Here is an 18,915-nt window from a genome sequence, read left to right on the forward strand (position 1 = left end):
CACCCGCCTCAGCCTCCCAAAGTGTTGGGATTACTGGCATGAGCCACAGCACCCGGCTATAGCATCATTTAAAATTTGTGTCTGCCATGAATTGTTAGTTGGTAGTTAACAAAAATAGACCACCTCATTTATGTCTTACAGTTAGCATTGGTTTTTGTGTTTTCTTTATGCTTTTTTTTTTAATTGCTTTTAAAATTGTGAAACAGGGTCTTGTTCTGTTGCTGAGGCCAGACTGCAGTGACACAATCTTGGCTCACTGCAGCGTCAACCTCCTGGGCTCAAGCAATCCTCCCACTTTAGCCTCCTGAGTAGCTGGGACTACAAACACGAGCCACCACAGCTGGCTAATTTTTAATTTTTAATTTTTTTTTTTGAAATGGAGTTTTGCTCTGTCGCCCAGCAGGTTGGAGTGCAGTGGCGTAATCTTGGCTCACTGCAACCTCCACCTCTCGGGTTCAAGCCATTCTTCTGCCTCAGCCTCGGCACCCACCACCATGCCTGGCTAATTTTTAAAAAATATTTTTAGTAGCGACAGGGTTTCACCATGTTGGCCAGCCTGGTCTTGAACTCCTGACCTCAAGTGATCCACCTACCTCAGCCTCCCAAAGTGCTGGGGTTACAGGCGTGAGCAACCACGCCAAGCCTAATTTTTAATTTTTTTTAGATACCAGGTTTTGCCATGTTGTCTAGGCTGGTCTTGAACTCCTGGGCTCAAGTGATCCTCCTGCCTTGGCCTCTCAAAGTTCTGGGATTACAGGCATGGCCCTTATGTCTGGCCCTTAAAGCTGCTTTTTAATAACAGCTTTATTGAAAGATAATTCACATACCATACAATTTGCCCATTTAAAGTGTATCATTTGGCCGGGCATGGTGGCTCACACTTGTAATCCCAGCACTTTGGGAGGCTGAGGTGGGAGGATCGCTTGAACCCAAGAGTTTGAGATGAGCCCGAGCAATATGGCAAAACCCTGTCTCGACCAAAAATACAAAAAAATTAGCTGGGCATGGTGGTGTGTGTCTGTAGTCCCAGCTACTCAGGAGGCTGAAGTGGGAGGATGGTTTGAGCCCAGGAGGTGGAGGGTGCAGTGAGTTGAGATTGCACCACTGCACTCCAGCCTGGACAACAGAGCCAGACCCTCTCTCTAAATACATAAATAAAGTGCATAATTCAGTGGTTTTTAATATATTCACAGAGTTGGGCAGCCATCATCACCATCAATTTTAGAAATTTTAATTACCCCAGAAGAAACCCTGTATCCATTAGCAGTTACCCCTTATTTCCCCCTGACTGTCCCCACCCCTGGCTCCTGGCAACCATTAATCTACTTTCTGTTTCTTTGGATTTTCATATTCTGGGCATATATATATATATAGAATCATCTAATATTTGTCTGGCTTCTCTCACTTAGCCTAACGGTTTCAAGGTGTATCCAGGTTGTAGCATGAATCAGCCCTTCATTCCATATTGTGGCTGATTAATGTTCCATCACACGGGTGGACTGTACTTGTTTGCTTATTCATCTGTTGTTGATAGACATTTGTGTTGTTGCCACCTTTTGACAATTATGAATAATTTTGCTACGAGCATCTGTGTGTGTCTTTGTATGAACAGGCTTGCATATTTTTTGATATGGGCAAAAGAGAACCAGCGGCAGGGGGCCTCTGTGGTGACTTTTTCGGTGATCTTCGTGTACTCTGTATAATGATCAGCCACTCAGGCTTGGGGGCAGCACTTAACCTTACATTTCTTTCTTTTTTTAAAGATAGGGTCTCTCTCTCTGCCACCCAGGCCAGAGTGCAGTTGACGCAGGGCAGGGGAGCCCCGAAGTGGAGCATAGCGTGTCCGGAACTGGTGGGTTCTTGGTCTCACTGACTTCAAGAATGAAGCCGCGGACCCTCGCGGTGAGTGTCACAGTTCTTAAAGGCGGCGTGTCTGGAGTTTATTCCTTCTGATGCTCGGATATGTTCAGAGTTTCTTCCTTCTGGTGGGTTTGTGGTCTCGCTGGCTTCAGGAGTGAAGCTGCAGACCTTCGAGGTGAGTGTTACAGCTCGTAAAGGCAGTGTGGACCCAAAGAGTGAGCAGCAGCAAGATTTATTACAAAGAGCAAAAGAACAAAGCTTCCACAGTTTGGAAACGGACCCCAGTGTGTTGCCACTGCTGGCTGGGGCAGCCTGGTTTTACTCCCTTATCTGGCGCCACCCACATCCTGCTCATTGGTCCATTTTACAGAGAGCCGATTGGTCTGTGTTACAGAGAGCTGATGGGTCTGTTTTGACAGGGTGCTGACTGGTGCATTTACAATCCCTGAGCTAGACACAAAAGTTCTCCAAGTCCCTACTAGATTAGCTAGATACAGAGTGTCGACTTGTGCATTCACAAACCCTGAGCTAGACACGGTGCTGATTGGTGTGTTTACAAACCTTAAGCTAGATACAGAGTGCCAATTGGTGTATTTACAATCCCTTAGCTAGACATAAAGGTTCTCAAAGTCCCCACCAGACTCAGGAGCCCAGCTGGCTTCACCAAGTGGGTCCCACATGGGGGCTGCAGGTGGAGCTGCCTGCCAGTCCCATGCCCTGTGCTGGCACTCCTCAGCCCTTGGGTGGTTGAAGGGACTGGGTGCCCTGGAGCAGGGGGCGGTGCTCATCGGGGAGGCTCGGTGCTCATCGGGGAGGCTCGGTACTCATCGGGGAGGCTCAGGTCACGCAGGAGCCCACGGCGGGTTGGGTGGAGGCTCAGGCATGGCGGGCTGCATGTCCCGAGCCCTGACCTGCAGGGAAGCAGCTAAGGCCCAGTGAGAAATTGAGCAAAGCAGCTGCTGGCCCAGGTGCTAAGCCCCTCACTACCCGAGTCCAGCGGGGCCGGCGAGCCACTCCGAGTGCAGGGCCCAGTGAGCCCATGCCCACCTGGAACTCGCACTGGCCCGCAAGCGCCGTGCCCAGCCCCGGTTCCTGCCCACGCCTCTCCCTCTACACCTCCCCGCAAGCTGAGGGAGTCGGCTCCAGCCTCGGCCAGCCCAGGAAGGGGCTCCCACAGTGCAGCCATGCGCTGAAGGGCTCCTCAAGTGCCACCAAAGTGGGAGCCTAGGCAGAGGAGGTGCCGAGAGTGAGCTCGAGGGCTGCCAGCATGCTGTCACCTCTCAATAGCACGTGAGGGTTCTTGTCTTTACCCAGGAAAGAATTCAAGGGCAAGCCAGAGGTTTAGAAGAAAACAGCTTTATTGAAGAGGCAGCATTACAGCCCTGTGACTGCTCCTGTAGGGCAGGGTTACCCTGGAGGCAGAGAGTAGCGGCAGAGAGTCTGCAATCACATTTATACTCACTTTTAATTGCATGCAGATTAAAGGGCAGTTTATGCAGGAATTTCTAGAAAATGGGTAGTAACTTTTGAGTCATTGGGTCATTGCCATGGAAAGGGGCAGTAACTCCCTGGTGTTACCTTGGCAATAGTAAACTCACATGGCACAGTGGTGGGCATCTCTGATGGAAAGCTGCTTCTGCCCCAGCCCTGTTTTAGCTAGTCCTCAATTTGGTCTGGTGTCCAAGCCCTGCCTGTGGAGTCAAGTCCTGCCTCCTATCTCACAGTGGCGTGATCATGGCTCACTGCAGACTCAACACCCCCGGGCTCAAGCAGTTCTCCCACCTCAGCCTCCTGAGTTGCTGGGACCACAGGCACGTGCTACTACGCCCAGCTACATTTTTTGCATTTTTTATAGAGACGGTGTTTCACTGTGTTGCCTAGGCTGGTCTCAAACTCCTGGGCTCAAGCAATATACCTACGTTAGCCTTCTAAAGTGCTGGGATTACAGGTGTGAGCCACTGCACCCAGCCCAACCTTACATTTTTAATCTCAAGTCACTTCTCTCTAGGTTTTGATTTCTTCTTTAAAATGGCGGAACTAAGAGCATCTATTTTATAGGGTTGTTGGGAAGACAAAAATGAAAGAACTGCTGTTCTATGTTTAGTGAAGCACTGTGCACAATTTTGAATAATGAAGTTGGTGTTTATTTTTTATCATTTATTTATTTTTTAGAGACGGGGTCTTGCACTGTTGCTCCAGCTGGAGTGCAGTAGTGCAATCACATCTTAGTGCAGCCTTGACCTCCTGGGCTCAAGAAATCCTGCCACCTCAGCCTCCTGAGTAGCTGGGACTACAGGCATGCATCGCCATGTCTGGCTATTTATTTATTTGTTAGTTTTTTGTAGAGATGGGGGTCTCCCTATGTTGCCTGGGCTGGTCTTGAACTCCTGGCCTTAAGCAATCCTCCTGTCTTGGCCTCCCAAAACACTGAGATTACAGGTGTGAACCACCATGGCCAGCCTTATTTTTATTTTTAAATCAGCCTTGTCAAGTTGAATTGGTCATTAATCTTGTATAACGGTAACTTGTGGCAGCATTGGTTGGATGGGGGGTGGGGAACATTTAGGACCCTGTGGGCTACAACTCATAGTGTGTGCACTTATTTTATTTTATTTTGTTTTGTTTTGTTATATTATATTATATTATATTATATTATATTATATTATTATTTTTTTTGAGACAGGGTCTCACTCTGTTGCCCAGACTGGAGTGCAGTAGCATGATCTTGGCTCACTGTAACCTCTGCCTCCCAGGTTCAAGCGATTCTCCTGACTCAGCCTCCAGAGCAGCTGGAACTACAGATGTGCGCCACCACGCCTGGCTAGTTTTTGTATTTTTAGTAGAGCTGGGGTTTCACCATGTTGGCCAGGCTGGTCTCAAACTCCTGACCTCAGGTGATACACCTGCCTCAGCCTCCCAAAGTGCTGGGATTATAGGCGTGAGCCACCGTGCCTGGCTGTGCACTTATGTTTGATTTTTGCAGAACCACCCTTCCCTAATGGTTGTCTCCTAGATCTAAGGTGACTTTATTCATTTTAGAATGAACTTACCCTATTGATACTGTAACCAGAGTTGGCATACATCACAATTGGCAGAACCCGGTCATGTTTAGCAAGATGGAAGTGTTCTGGAAGCTCCTCCTTCTTGTAGGTGTGGAGGCGAGGGTATGCATTCTTCAGTGCCTGGTAAAGGGTTTCCTCTTGCCCCAATTTGGGCAGGGGCATCCCAAAGCCACTGTAGCCCACAATATCAAACTTGACCAAGTCCCTGAACTTCATGTAGTTGGACAAGGGATCTTGTTGACATTGGGTCTCTTCTTCACGGTGGTCATCCCACGGTCTCATGTGATGATGATGCTGAGGTGCTCTGCAGGCTGTGCTTCTCAGTGGCTCCCACCAGATACCCGATGGTCCTGTCGATTTGCTGAATCATCAACTTGCTGTTCTCTGCCTCTGGCCCGAATCAATGTCCCACGTTATCTGGCTCTCTGTAGCTCAGTGTCACAAAGTCAAAGTCTTCCTTGGTGAACCAGTTCATGACGGTATTGATGTTCTCCCTCTGCTCTGTCTCGCTGCTGTTTGGGTGAGTGTAGGACTCCACCAGGGACCGCTTGACAACCTCACCCTCATATTTAGCACCTCCCCTGGAACAGTGGAATGATGCCGCTCTGTTCCCCTGCAAGTACAAGAAGAAAATTCCATCAGGGCCATTTCCCATACCTTTCTCACAATCAGCAAAGCTCGAGTTGTCTACATCTGTGCCCCAGTCCAAAGGCATAGAAAATATGTGGTCTTTGAAGTCAGACAGGGTGGAGTTAGATTCTGGGCTTCCCCAGGATCTCATAGCATCTACAACACTGTTAGTTACAAGATGTGCTATTATTTTATGGGCTACTAAGCAGAAAAATGCTGCCAATGAGACCGTGACATTCCAGTGATTGTAAGGTGTATTCCAACTTCAGAGATGGCAAAATGAAAAATACTTCCTTAGAATAGAGGGAGATGGTAATTTCTGAGTTGGTGCTGGTGAATTTGTGCATGTGTGTTATATATATATACATATATATATACACACACACATATATACACATATACATGTATATATATGTGTATATATATACAGACATATATATGTATACCTGTGTATATATAGTGGCACAGTGGTTCAATCATAGCCCATTGCACCCTTGAACTCCTGGGCTTAAGTGATCCTGCCACCTCAGCCTCTTGAGTAGCTGCGGCCACAGGCATGTGCCACCATACCTATTTTTTTTTTTTTTTTTTGAGACACGGTCTCACTCTGTCACCTAGGTTGGAGTGCAGTGGCACAATCTCAGCTCACTGCAACCTCTGACTCCTGGGTTCAAGCAATTCTCGTGCCTCAGCCTCCCAAGTAGCTGGGATTATAGACTTGTGCCACTATGCCCAGCTAAGTTTTGTATTTTTAGTTGAGATAGACTTTTGTCGTGTTGGCCAGGCTGGTTTCGAATCCCTGGGCTGAAGTGATCCACTTGCCTTGGCCTCCCAAAGTGCTGGGATTACATGTGTGAGCCACCGCACCTAGCCCTAATTTTTTTTTTTTTTAATATTTGTAGAGATGAGGTCTCACTAATTTGCCCAGGCTGGTCCTGAACTCCTGGGTTCAAGTAATTCTCCTGCCTCAGCCTCTCAAAGTGCTGGGATTACAGGCATGAGACACCGTGCCCGGCTGGTGGTGAGTTTTAAAATCTCCCAGTGTCTCCGTGTCTCAGTGTTTCTACCTGTAGAATGCCAAAAAGTAGATGGCATCTTTGTGAGCATTAAGCAGGCTAGCTTTTTATTTTTTTATTTTTATTTTTTATTTTTTGGAGACAGAATTTCTCTCTTGTCACCCAGGCTGGAGTGCAATGGCGTGATCTTGGCTCACTGCAACCTCCGCCTCCTGGATTCAAGTGGTTCTCCTGACTCAGCCTCCCAAGTGGCTGGGATTACAAAGCCAGCTAGCTTTAAGATACAGTGTTGGGCTTCACATTTTGGCATGGAGCAGGCACTCTTTTCTTTGCCTCCAGGTGGGACTAAGCCACCACAAGCCTTTCCTGGTGTGTGCAGTGGGTGATGAATGCTTGCCTGCTCAGCACCCACTTCCTGCTGGGCTGGGTCACATTACTCTGACTCCCCCTTGAGATTCAGTCCGCGCCTGGTTCAAGATGTATTGACTCAACCCGAGGATCCAGAGGTGGGATGTAGCTCTGGCCTGGCCAGAGGACCGAGGGTGCTGCATGCCATGGCTACAGCAACTGGTCAGCTTTGGGCTCATGTCCTAGTCAGAGCCAATGAGATGTAATCTTGGGATATCTGCTGGGCTGTTGAGAAGGGGACAGGCTGCCCTGCACATCCCCATTCCTGATGCTGAGGGATCTGAGAAAATCACTTGTAAAATTTGGGGGTGTTTGGAAGAAGGGGAGACTGATGTCTCTTTCTCTCCACAGACATCTGATCAGCTACAGAGCTTGACTAACCTACCCAGAGGCAGAATGATATGGTGGTTAAAAGTGTGCTCTGGGCCGAGATTTTGCCACTGTACTCCAGCCTGGGTGACAGAGTGAGACTCCATCTCAAAAAAAAAAAAAAAAGTGTGCTCTGGGCTGGGTGCAGAGGCTCACGACAGTAATCCCAGCACTTTGGGAGGCTGAGGCAGGAGGATCGCTTGAAGTCAGGAGTTTGGAATCAGACCCCATATCTACAAAAATGTTTTTTAAAAATTAGCTGGGTTGGTGGTGAATGCCTCTAGTCCCAGCTACTCGGGAGGCTGAGGCGGGAAGATTGCTGGAGCTCGGGAGTTCAAGGCTTCAGTGAGCTATGATCAGGCCACTGCACTCCAGTTTGAGGGACAGAGAGAGACCCCATCTCTCTGAACAACAAAAATGGGTGCTCTGGTGCCGCACTGCCTGGTTAGATCCTTTGTCCACCACTTAGATGCATGTTATATAAATGCTCTCCTCAGTTTCCTCATCTGTAACTTGGGGATGGTAATTCTGCCCCAAGAAGTGGTTATGGGGACTAAATGCATGTGGGCATATTGGTAAGTATTCAACGAGCTTGATTTTTCCAGGAGAGGGAGAAAGAGCTTGCAGTGAGGTGGCATGGTCAGGGGCTTTGGGACAAGGATTATTTCCTCTGGCTTCTGCCTCCTGGGAGGTACTAAGGAGGGATCTGAAATGTGTCTGCAGGCCCCAGAGTTGGGGACTGCAGAGGGAAATTGAGATCAGGGACCCTAGTCTGACAGAAATGAGTGCAGCATGGGGCATTGGGTTCCTTCCATCAGAGGCATGGGGCGTATTGCAGACAGTCATGAAATGTGGCTGAATCTTGCAAGGGACCCTCGGTCCTCGGGTTGCTGCTTGAGATAAAGACCCCTGTCAGTGGAACCTGGTGACCTTCACCCTTCTGTGTCAGGCTGCAGACAGCAAGAGATGGCAGCAGATTACACCCAACAGGAAAAGGGCCATTGCCATCCCACAGGTTGCCATAGGAGGAGATGACATCTCTCCCTCTCCTCCTCCAGCAGTGTCAGCTGGAGAAGAGGTGGGTGGGTGTGCACAGAAGAGTAGACCACAGACCATGCTCCTTCTCCTCCGGTCTGCTGGGGCCCCGAGAGAGTCTGCAGCCCTTGGCCAGGGACCGGCTGACACAGGAGAACAAAAGACCTGAGGCTGGGATAACATGGTGGTGCAGTTCATCCTCTGGAGCTCCCTGTGAGATCAGACTGGAGCCGGTCTCCAGCTGAGACCACATCTCACTTAGCTCCTTCCCTGCCATATCCTGTTTTCCTTACTCCTATCTCCTGAGAGTTCTTCCTGAATGAATTACATGCACTCAATCCTTGCCTCAGGCTCTGCTTTTAGGGAACTTGACCTAAGACAGAAATCTTAGTACTAAATACTTTGCAAGGCCTCAGAAGTGCTGCTATCCACAAGCAGGTGAGATATTACCTTCCCTACCACCTGGCATTCATAGTCTATGATGCGATTCAGCTTTATGGAAGTGCTTCTCTAAAGAACTTCCCCCAATTTAAGATGATCCTCATTTGCTTACTTGTTTATTGTCCATTTAGCTGCTCTAAAATGTGAGCTCCAAATCAGGGGCCATGTCTGGTTGGTTACCCATTTCCTGGGACCTAGGAAGGGCCTAGCTCAGAGCAGGTGCTCACTATTGATGGACTGCATGTTGAAAGAATGCATGAATCTCATCTCCTTTTGTGGATGAAAAACTCATCCTATTCTCACCCTGATTAACTTTCTTTCTTTCTTTCTTTCTTTCTTTCTTTCTTTCTTTCTTTCTTTCTTTCTTTCTTTCTTTTTTTTTTCAAATTGGAGTCGTGATCTGTTACCCAGGCTGGAGTGCAATGGTGTGATCTCAGCTAGCTGCAACCTCTGCCTTCTGGATTAAAGCAATTCTCCTGCCTCAGCCTCCTATGTAGCTGGGATTACAGGTGTATACCACCATGCCCGGCTAATTTTTTGTATTTTTAATAGAGACAGGGTTTCACCATATTGGCCAGGCTGGTCTCGAAATCCTGACCTCGTGATCCACCTGCTTTGGCCTCCCAAAGTCCTGGGATTACAGGCATGAGCCACCATACCCAGCCACTCTTGATTAACTTAACGGAAATATTTACAGAGATTCTTTCTCTTCTGGGTTCTAGCGTCCTATGTGTAACCTCTGCAGGTAATACATTTTCCTTCCTGATGATAGCATTTCTATGGTTGCTTTAACTCACAAATCTTCTAATACTTATTTATTCCATTTCTGATTGGCATTAGACATAATTCTCAATTTTTAGTGACAGCACTTCGTTTAACTTACATATAAATCGACTTTGCCTTGAAATGTGACATTGACTAGAAGTATGAAACTTCTAACATGCTGTAGAACACAGTTTGACTGGCTAATTTATTATTTAGAAAAAGCTAATATTGCCATTATGAGGGGCTTAGGTGGCTCTGAAGAACCGGTTGTATTTCTAATGTTTGCAATGTTAAATCACAGATATTGCTAACGTGAAATAGTTTCCATATGCTGTGTTCTCAATACACACCTTTTCCAAAGATATCCCTAAGTAGTCTTAGGAAACTGTGATTTTTCTTATTTGGTCTCATAGGAATTTGGGGAGCTATGCGGGATCTCCATAAAATGAGCTCCAGAAAGACACATGTGTGCACACGCACACGCTCAGACATGTACCACACCACACTTGACTCTGTTTATTTGCGACCCATGATTATCAGAAGTGCTATTTTCAACAAATACTTCTGAGAAATAATCTGAATACTTAATTGGATGCAAAATAGTGGCTATTTACTATTCTACCCTTTAGTTAGCATAATCAGTGTTTCCAGCAGGAAAAGCAATTGGAAAATCGCTAGTTTTATTAGGTTCATTATTCTCCCGTAGCGTAGTGTGGCATCAGCATGACTATTATTCTTAAATTGCCTCTTTAAAACAAGAGCTGGTGCTTCTTCCAGGCAATTCCTAACTCTTGGGCTTTGTAGAGGTTCCAAAACTCTTTAGAACCTATAATTCAAGGAAAGGCTCCTCTTTGGTTTTGCATTTTGTCTGGTCTCTTTCGGTGACAGAATTTATATCACAAGGTGCACACATTTTGGGGAGGCTCATGGACAGCCCATCGCGCTTGTGCTTTGGTAGGAAGTATGTGCCGTTAAGGGGAAGGAGTTAGTTACTGATTCTAGGGAACAATGGGTAGAAAGAGATGGACGCCCTGTATTTGAAATTCAGAACTCAAGCTTGGCTCTACGCGTTTCCTTGCTTTGCTGTGCTCCAGGGGAGTCACTGAGCAGAAGGAAGCGAGTTGCCTGAGATTCCTCAAAGCCCGCAGCCCTTTTGGAGGTTACATTGTTATTCTCTGAGCCTTTATGATACATAATAAAGACCTAGCTTGGACCAATATTAGGATGAGTTATCTTGCTATTAACATTCTTTTAGGTAGAAGTTGCTGGTCCCATCTTGCTCACAATCCTCCAAAGTTTGGAAGTTACTTTCCAGGAGACTTGGCTTGCACTGAGAGCTGCCCTCCCACCTTCTGTCCAAATTTCCTCTTGGGAGTAGCCTAACAAGGTGCTGTCACAGACCCTTGCCAGCCACGATGACCCCACCCAGACCATCCCTCTGCTGTTTCACTCTTTGATACTCTCTGGAGCTCTCTGGGGAGGGGTGAGACCTGCTGTCTGGTTTGTACGGTTTGCCCAGGTCTTACAGTCATGGCTGGTGCCTCTCTCTGAGAACTGGGACTCCTGAACTTGGTGAAATACCTCAGCCATTGATCATGTTAAAATATCGGGCACAGTCATTTAAAATCCGAGTCTGCTCCAGATGGACTCTCTCTCTTTCTGCCCTGACCGTGAGAGAGAGAGACCGTGAGAGAGAGAGAGAGAGAGACCGTGCCCTGACCTGCTGGACAGTGGAGATGCTCGTGGGCTGTGAGCAACAGATGCAAAGGCTGTCGGGAATCCCATCTTTCCAGCATCATCTGCCAAGGCACATCAGTTCCTGGGTATCTTGATGGGTTCTGGCAGCATTACTGTCATTGAAGGAAATCATTTTAGCCATATTAAAGGTGAATACAGCAATCCCCACACAGGCTGCCTGGAAAGGACGCGGGACAAGGATAGGTTTTCCCTGTGATGGACAGGCGGCAGGCGGCCCTCCCACAGCCCTGCCTGGCAATGGAGATGTGTCCCACAGCTGGAGTGCTGTGCCGAGGCGGGCTCACCCGGGCTGTGGGTTCGCTCTGATTGCAGCAGTTTCCCGCCAGCTCCTTGGAGAGCTGGCAGATGACCCAGCCCCACAGCAGGAGCTGTGAATGGCAGAACGAGATACAACAATTTGATATCCACTTGCCAGATGAGCCGGGTGTTGTCAGTCGCCTGGCTCTGCGCCAACCTCTTTTTGCACAAACACTTATGAATTGAGCCAGGAGGAAAAGCACTCTGATTATGAATTGAGCAGAAGGAAACAAAGTTCTGCAGATAAACACCAATGAGACCAAAAACCACGAATAAGAAAAATGACAGAAAAGGAGAACCTTCCCAGAAGCCTCCTGCCAGTGAACGGCCACCATAGCAAGAGCAGGGAGGCCATGGGTTTTGAACTGTGAGATAAGGAAGATGATGAAAACCTTCCTAGCAGCCAGGCAAGCACAAGATTCCTGTGAAATCCAGGTATAAGTGTTTTGACCACAGAAGTAATATTATGTCATAGGTGAGAGCTGTGAGTTGCTGAACACAAAGCTAGTTCAAATCCGAGCTCTGCCTCCTGCTACCTGTGTGACTTTGAGAAGTTCCAGCACTGCTTTGTGCCTCAGTTTTGTCATCTGTTAAATGGGCATAATCACAGCTCCTGCCTCAGAGTTGTTGTAAATTAATACATGTAAAGCACTGAAATCAGCCTGGTACACAGTAAGTGTTATGAACGTTATTTTCTTGGAAGGACAGAACTTATTTTCATGGTCTAATCCTAAAAGTCTAAAAAATGTGAGAGAAGAGGAAAGAATCTGGAGTCTCACCATGAGGGAGAAAAGTCAACTTGAAGCAGGACAGGGTCATTGGCAATTTCCTGTAATTCTACAGCTGCCTTGTACACTATGGTAGCTCCTAGCCACTTGTTGTTTAGATTTTGTGATTTAGAAATGAATTGAGGCCAGGCATGGTGGCACACCTGTAATCCCAGCATTTTGGGAGGCCAAGTTGGGCAGATCACCTGAGGTCAGGGGTTCAAGATCAGCCTGGCCAACATGGTGAAATCTCGTCTCTACAAAAATACAAAAATTAGCCGGGCATGATGGCGGGTTCCTGTAATCCTGGCTACTCAGGAGGCTGAGGCAGGAGAATTGCTTGAACCCGGGAGATGGAAGTTGCAGTGAGACGAGATTGCGCCACTGCCCTCCAGCCTGGAGGATAGAGTGAGACTCTGTCTCAGAAAAAAAAAAAAAAAATTAGTTAAGAGAAAATTGAAAATTCAGTTCTTCATTCTCACCAGCCACATTTCAAGGGCTCAACAGCCCATGTGGGTGGCTAGCAGCTCCCATGTTGGACAGTGCAGAGTAGAGCAAGTCCGCCATTGCAGAATGTTTGATTGGACCATGACTGAATAGTCTATTGCAGTGGTCCCCAATTTTTTTTAGCACCAAGGACCAGTTTCCATGTATTTGTGGGGGGAAGTTTCAGGATGATTCAAGAGCATTACATTTATTATGTACTTTATTGTTATGAACATTATAATATATAATGAAATCATTATACAACTCACCATAATGTAGAATCAGTGGGAGCCCTGAGCTTGTTTTCCTGCAACTAGTTAATCCCATCTCCTGGTGGTGGGAGACAGTGACAGATCATCAGGCATTAGATTCTCATAAGGAGCACACAACCTAGATCCCTTCCACATGCAGTTCACAATAGGGTTGGTGCTCCTATCAGAATCTAATGCCGCTGCTGATCTAACAGGAGACAGAGCTCAGGCAGTAACGCTAGCCATGGGGAGCAGCTGTAAATACAGATGAAGCTTCACTCATTAGCCCACTGCTCACCTCCTTCTGTGCAGCCCAGTTCCTAACAGGCCACAGACCACTACTGGTCTGTGGTCTGGGGGATGGGGACCTCTGGTCTATTGGATAACACTGGCTTGGAGGGGACTGATCATCCAAAGAAAGGCTGAGATGATTTGGCCTCCATTAATAAGAATGATGGACTTTTTTTTTTTTTGAGACAGAGTTTTGCTCTTGTTGCCCATGCTGGAGTGCAGTGGCACCATTTCAGCTCACTGCAACCTCTGTCTCCCAGGTTCAAAAGATTCTCATGCCTCAGCCTCCCAAGTAGCTGGGATTACAGGTGCCTGCCACCATGCCTGGCTAATTTTTGTATTTTTAGTAGAGTCAGGGTTTTGCCATGTTGACCAGGCTGGTCTTGAATTCCTGACCTCAAGTGACCCACCTGCCTCGGTCTCCCGAAGTGCTGGGATTACAGGCGTGAGACACCGTGCCTGGCCAGATGGACTTTTTTTGAGCATTTAGTTCCAAGCACCTTCCCTGCATTTTCTCAGTTAATCCTCCCAGTGACTCTTTGAAGAAGGGACTGTGACAATCTTCATTTCACAGATGGAGCAACTGAGGCATAGAGAGGAAGTCAATGGCCACGGTCGCCCAGCTGAGGAAGGATGGAGCCGGCTGAGATCCTGTTCTGGGGACCTAACTCTGCAGCCTGCATTCTGGGCTGCTATATTCTCCCATGTTGCTATCTGACGAGCACAGCATGGGCTCAGAGTACAGACAGGAGCCACCAGCTAATAAGGATGGGTCTGGGGTGAAGGCTGGTGCCTTGGGGAAGAAGAGAGAGGTCCCATTCTTAAGGGATAGCATTGGAAGTTCATAGTGATAAAGCAAAGCCAACAGGTTTTGGGGCTGGGAGTTAAACACACAGCTCTGGTTTCTGCCTTTTCACAGTGGTGATGAATGGGCACTGAGACCCTCTCAAGCTAAAGTTGTCATCATTGCTCTTCATAGTCTGAAGGTGCATGAAATGGTCAACTTTCTTCCAAAGGGCTTTTATGCCTAAGTCTGCGGTTAGTGTATAAACAGATATTTACTGAAGTCCTGCTGGGTGCAGACATGGTGGCCAGCCCTGAGGCTACAGTCGAGATGAAGCCAGTCTCTGTCCTCATGAAGACCTGTCTATTGATAAGAAAAGAGAAAGCTCACTGAGCATTGACCCTGTGCCCACTGCTTTTGATGCATCTCTCATTTAATCCTTCTATCAAATCTGTGAAATAAACACATCACCATCATCCCTATTTCACATTTAGGGAAACATATGCTTAGAGAGGGTAAGTAACTTGGTCAAGGTCACACAGCTTCGAACTCTCATCCCACAGGCACAGGAATGAGAGGTAGCAGCTGGGGAAGCCAGGGTCTCTGGCAGTCCTTGTCTCTGGGCGGTGATCCAGAGAGAGAGAGAACACGATTTTCTCAGCACTGGTTCTTCTTCTGAGTCGTCTTGAAGGAGCAATTGCAGAGCGTCTCGGTGTTAAACATCATGTTGTGAATGACTCCGTGATGTCTGACCCAGTGTCCTTGGGGATAAAGGAGGGGAGGTATGGAGAAGCTCTTTGAATGGATGTTACTGGGGTGTCAGTGTTCTTTGAGGGCACAGGCTATGTGTCACCAAATCGAAGGAGTGGCCTGCCCCTCCACACTTGTGGGTATTTCTAGTCGGGTGGGATGAGAGACAGAGAAAAGAAATAAGACACAGAGACAAAGTATAGAGAAACAACAGTGGGTCCAGGGGACCGGCACTCAGCACACCAAGGACCTGCACTGGCACCGGCCTCTGAGTTCCCTCAGTTTTTGTTGATCATGATTTTCATTATTTCAGCAAAAAGGAATGTAGTAGGAGAGCAGGGTGATAATAAGGAGAAGGTCAACAAAAAACATGTGAGCAAAAGAATCTATATCATAATTAAGTTCAAGGGAAGGTACTATAACTGGACGTGCACGTAGGCCAGATTTATGTTTCTCTCCACCCAAACATCTCAGCGGAGTAAAGAATAACAAGGCAGCACTACTGCCAACATGTCTCGTCTCCCGCCACAGGGCAGCTTTTCTCCTAGCTCAGAGTTGAACAAATGTACAATCGGGTTTTACACTGAGACATTCAGTTCCCAGGGGCAAGCAGGAGACAGTGGCCTTCCTCCATCTCAACTGCAAGAGGCTTTCCTCTTTGACTAATCCACCTCAGCACAGACCCTTTACGGGTGTCAGGCTGGGGGACAGTCAGGTCTTTCTCATCCCACAAGGGCATATCTCAGACTATCACATGGGGAGAAACCTTGGACAATACCCTGCTTTCAAGGGCAGAGGTCCCTTCTGCTTTCCACGTTGCATTATGCCCCTGGTTTATTGAGACTAGAGAATGACAATGACTTTTACTGAGTATACTGCTCATAAATATTTTGTTCACAAGGCACGTCCTGCACGGCCCTAGATCCCTTAAACCTTGATTTTATACAACACATGTTTTTGTGAGCTCCAAGTTGGGTCAAAGTGGCTGGGGCAAAGTGGCTGGGGCAAAGCTACAAATGAACAACATCTAAGCAAAGCAATTGTTTAAAGTACAGGTCTTTTTCAAAATGGAGACTCTTATGTCTTCCGTTTCTACATAGACACAGTGACAGTTTGATCTCTCTTTCTTTTCCCTACACAAATAAAGAGCCCAGTGTCTTTTCTCATTGCTCAAGAGATTGAAGGGTTAGGAAGAAAAGATGTTAAGTTGTAAACATGTTTCAGTTTTGGTACCACTTGAACCAATTTATGTTTTGAAAAGGAAAGAGTCTTGCCTACAAAGTCAGCCCCTGGGTTTTCCTTCTGCTTATGGAATCCAAGCAATGGGCAAAGAGAAAAAGAAAACGAAGGAATCAGCCAGATGCAGTGGCTCATGCTTGTAATCTTGGCACTTTGGGAGGCTGAGGCAGGTGGACTTCTTGAGTCCAGGAGTTCAAGAACAGCCTGGCCCACATAGTGAGACCCCGTTTCTACAAAATATACAAAAACTTACGGAGCATGGTGGCATGCACCTGTAGTCCCAGTTACTTGGGAGGCTGAGGTGGGAGAACTACTTCAGCCCAGGAGGTTGAGGCTGCAGTGAGCCATGATTGTGCCACTATACTCTAGCCTGGCTGACAGAGTGAGGACCTGTCTCAAAAGAAAACAAAAAAGATAAGAAAAAGAAAACTAGAGAATCTGGACAGAATAAGTTTATATATATAATAAAGAACTGAGATAGAACTGGGTTGACTGAATAATTATTTGAATTGCTTTTGAGTGAATTTTTCCTATTGGAGTCTACCTTTGTTTTTTTGTGTGTGTGTGCGTGTTTTTTTTTTTTTTTTTTTTTTGGTTTAGTTTTGTCTTTGTGTTTTTTTGAGACTGGGCCTTGTTCTGTTGCCCAGGCTGCTGGAGTGCAGTGGCACGATCTCAGCTCACTGCAACCTCTGCCTCCTGAGTTCAAGTAATTCTTCCGCCTCAGCCTCCCCAGTATCTGGGACTACAGGCCATGTACCACCAAGCCCAGCTAATTTTTGTATTTTTAGTAGAGATGGGGTTTCACCATGTTGGCCAGACCTGGTCTTGAACTCCTGGGCTCAAGTGATCCACCTGCCTCAGCCCCACAAAGTGCTGGGATTACAGATGTGAGCCCCTGTGCCCAGCTAGAGTCTACCATTCTTTGAATTCACTGCAGTGCAAAGACTGGGACATGTGGAACTCCAGGTGTATATCGGTTATGTAGAGATGCTAGGGGCTGATTAAGGAAGGAAAGATGAGAAGCCTGCAGAGCATGCTTCCCCAGACTGTATGGGCCCTGGGAAAGGAGAAGTGGACAGAAAGGGAACACGAGGTGCCCTGAAGAGAAGATTCATCCAAGTCATCAGGGAAGTTACTAATGCAAGGGAAAAAATGCAGAGACAGGGCCAGCCACGCTTATTCCAAGTCCTTTCTGTCTGCTCAGTCACCTCTATGCTTATTTTTCTTCTTTCCTCTAAGTGGTATCATGCGTTTTCTTCCAATTCCTAGTCACTCCTAGTCAACTAACTCCTCTGTTTACCATCTTTTCATCAGAACTTGAAACCTCCTCTCCTTCATGTATTAGTGATCATGTTTCTCCATAATACTGCTAGAAATAAGAATTGAAACCTGGAAAACCTGCATTTGAGAACCAGATCTGCCTCTGCTAGCTATTTGAGAAGTTATTTTGTTCCATTCCTTTTGTTGTTGTCGAAACAGGGTGTCACTCTGTCGCCCAGGCTGGAGTGCAGTGGTTCAATCTTGGCTCACTGCAGCCTCAACCTCCTGGGCTCAAGCAATCCTTCCACATCAGCCTCCTGAGTAGCTGAGACTACAGGTGTGTGCCACCACAGCTCGCTAATTTTTAATGTTTATTTTTTTTTGTTTACTTTTTTTTTGTAGAGATGGGGTCTTGCTATGTTGTGCAGGCTGGTCTCACACTCATGGGCTCAAGTGATCCTCCTGCCTTGGCCTCTCCGATGAAATGGGAAAAGTTCCATTGTACCCCTTGAAGGGTATGCGATGCGGGTGTGGTTTGCTTCTTCAGTGCCCCACTGCTCAAACCTCTAGGGGAGCATGCAGACAGGCAGGGAGCCCCATGGCAGTGTCCAGGGGTGAATGTTTATAGTTGAAGCTCCAGTGGGTGTGTGTTACAGGGTGCTCTTTTAGTTTAGCCATCTGTAGGTAGCTTGTGTTAGTCAGCTCAATTAGACCCCCGCCTTATTGCAAGGACAGAGGGCTCTCTTTGTCCCGGGGTTCTTGTCTTGGTGTACCGGAAGTGGTGCGATCTCAGCTCACTGCAAGCTCCGACTCCTGGGTTCACGCCATTCTCCTGCCTCAGCCTCCCGAGTAGCTGGGACTACAGGTGCCCGCCACCACGCCCGGCTAATTTTTTTGTATTTTTAGTAGAGACGGGGTTTCACTCTGTTAGCCAGGATGGTCTGGATCTCCTGACCTCATGATCTGCCCGCCTCGGCCTCCCAGAGTGCTGGGATTACAGGCTTGAGAGTGCAAGGTTTTATTGAGTGGAAGTATCTCTCAGCAGATGGGGGAGCCAGAAGGGAGATGGTTTACCCCTGGAGTCGGGTGAGTGGCCTGACTCTTCTCCGACTGTCCCAGCCAAACTCTGGGTTGTTCCGCAGTCAGTGGCCTACGGTGTGCCGGTGCCCATTGGTGCGTTCCTCTTGACGTCCAGCACCCTTGTGTTCCTCCGCTGATGTGCTCCTCTCAAAGTCCAACTGCCTGTGTGTCTGTCTGCTAGGGTCTCAGGGTTTTCATAGGCACAGAATGGGGGTGTGGCAGCCAGGGTGGTCTTGGGAAATGCAACATTTGGGCAGGAAAACAAAAATGCCTGTCCTCACCTAGGTCCGTGGGAACAGGCCCTGGGGTGGAGCCCTAGCCAGGGACCACACCCTCCTCTACCCAGTACTTCCCTTCCTCACTTCC

At 47.5% G+C, this 18,915-nt stretch overlaps 1 long non-coding RNA gene and 1 pseudogene across 1 annotated transcript in view, besides 1 other annotated feature; one reads left to right on the plus strand and one right to left on the minus strand.

The window, feature by feature from the left end:
* The window catches only part of LOC112268090 (uncharacterized), a 51,420-nt gene that overhangs the window by 5,583 nt on the left and 26,922 nt on the right, over positions 1 to 18,915 (plus strand). The window contains exon 5 of the long non-coding RNA XR_007063199.1: positions 1,764 to 1,902. This is a non-coding gene — a long non-coding RNA (uncharacterized LOC112268090). The remainder of the gene's footprint in view (positions 1 to 1,763; positions 1,903 to 18,915) is intronic.
* Positions 2,221 to 2,781: an enhancer, noted in NCBI's record as "H3K27ac-H3K4me1 hESC enhancer chr12:8404422-8404982 (GRCh37/hg19 assembly coordinates)". NCBI's record gives its function as "activates a minimal SCP1, AML or CMV promoter by ChIP-STARR-seq in primed H9 embryonic stem cells {active_cell/tissue: H9 hESC(primed)}" and the evidence as "EXISTENCE:reporter gene assay evidence [ECO:0000049][PMID:30033119]".
* Positions 4,822 to 17,033, minus strand: ENPP7P5 (ectonucleotide pyrophosphatase/phosphodiesterase 7 pseudogene 5; annotated as a pseudogene).

Source organism: Homo sapiens, chromosome 12 (genome assembly GCF_000001405.40).
Source record: "Homo sapiens chromosome 12, GRCh38.p14 Primary Assembly".
NCBI classification, from domain to species: Eukaryota; Metazoa; Chordata; class Mammalia; order Primates; family Hominidae; genus Homo; species Homo sapiens.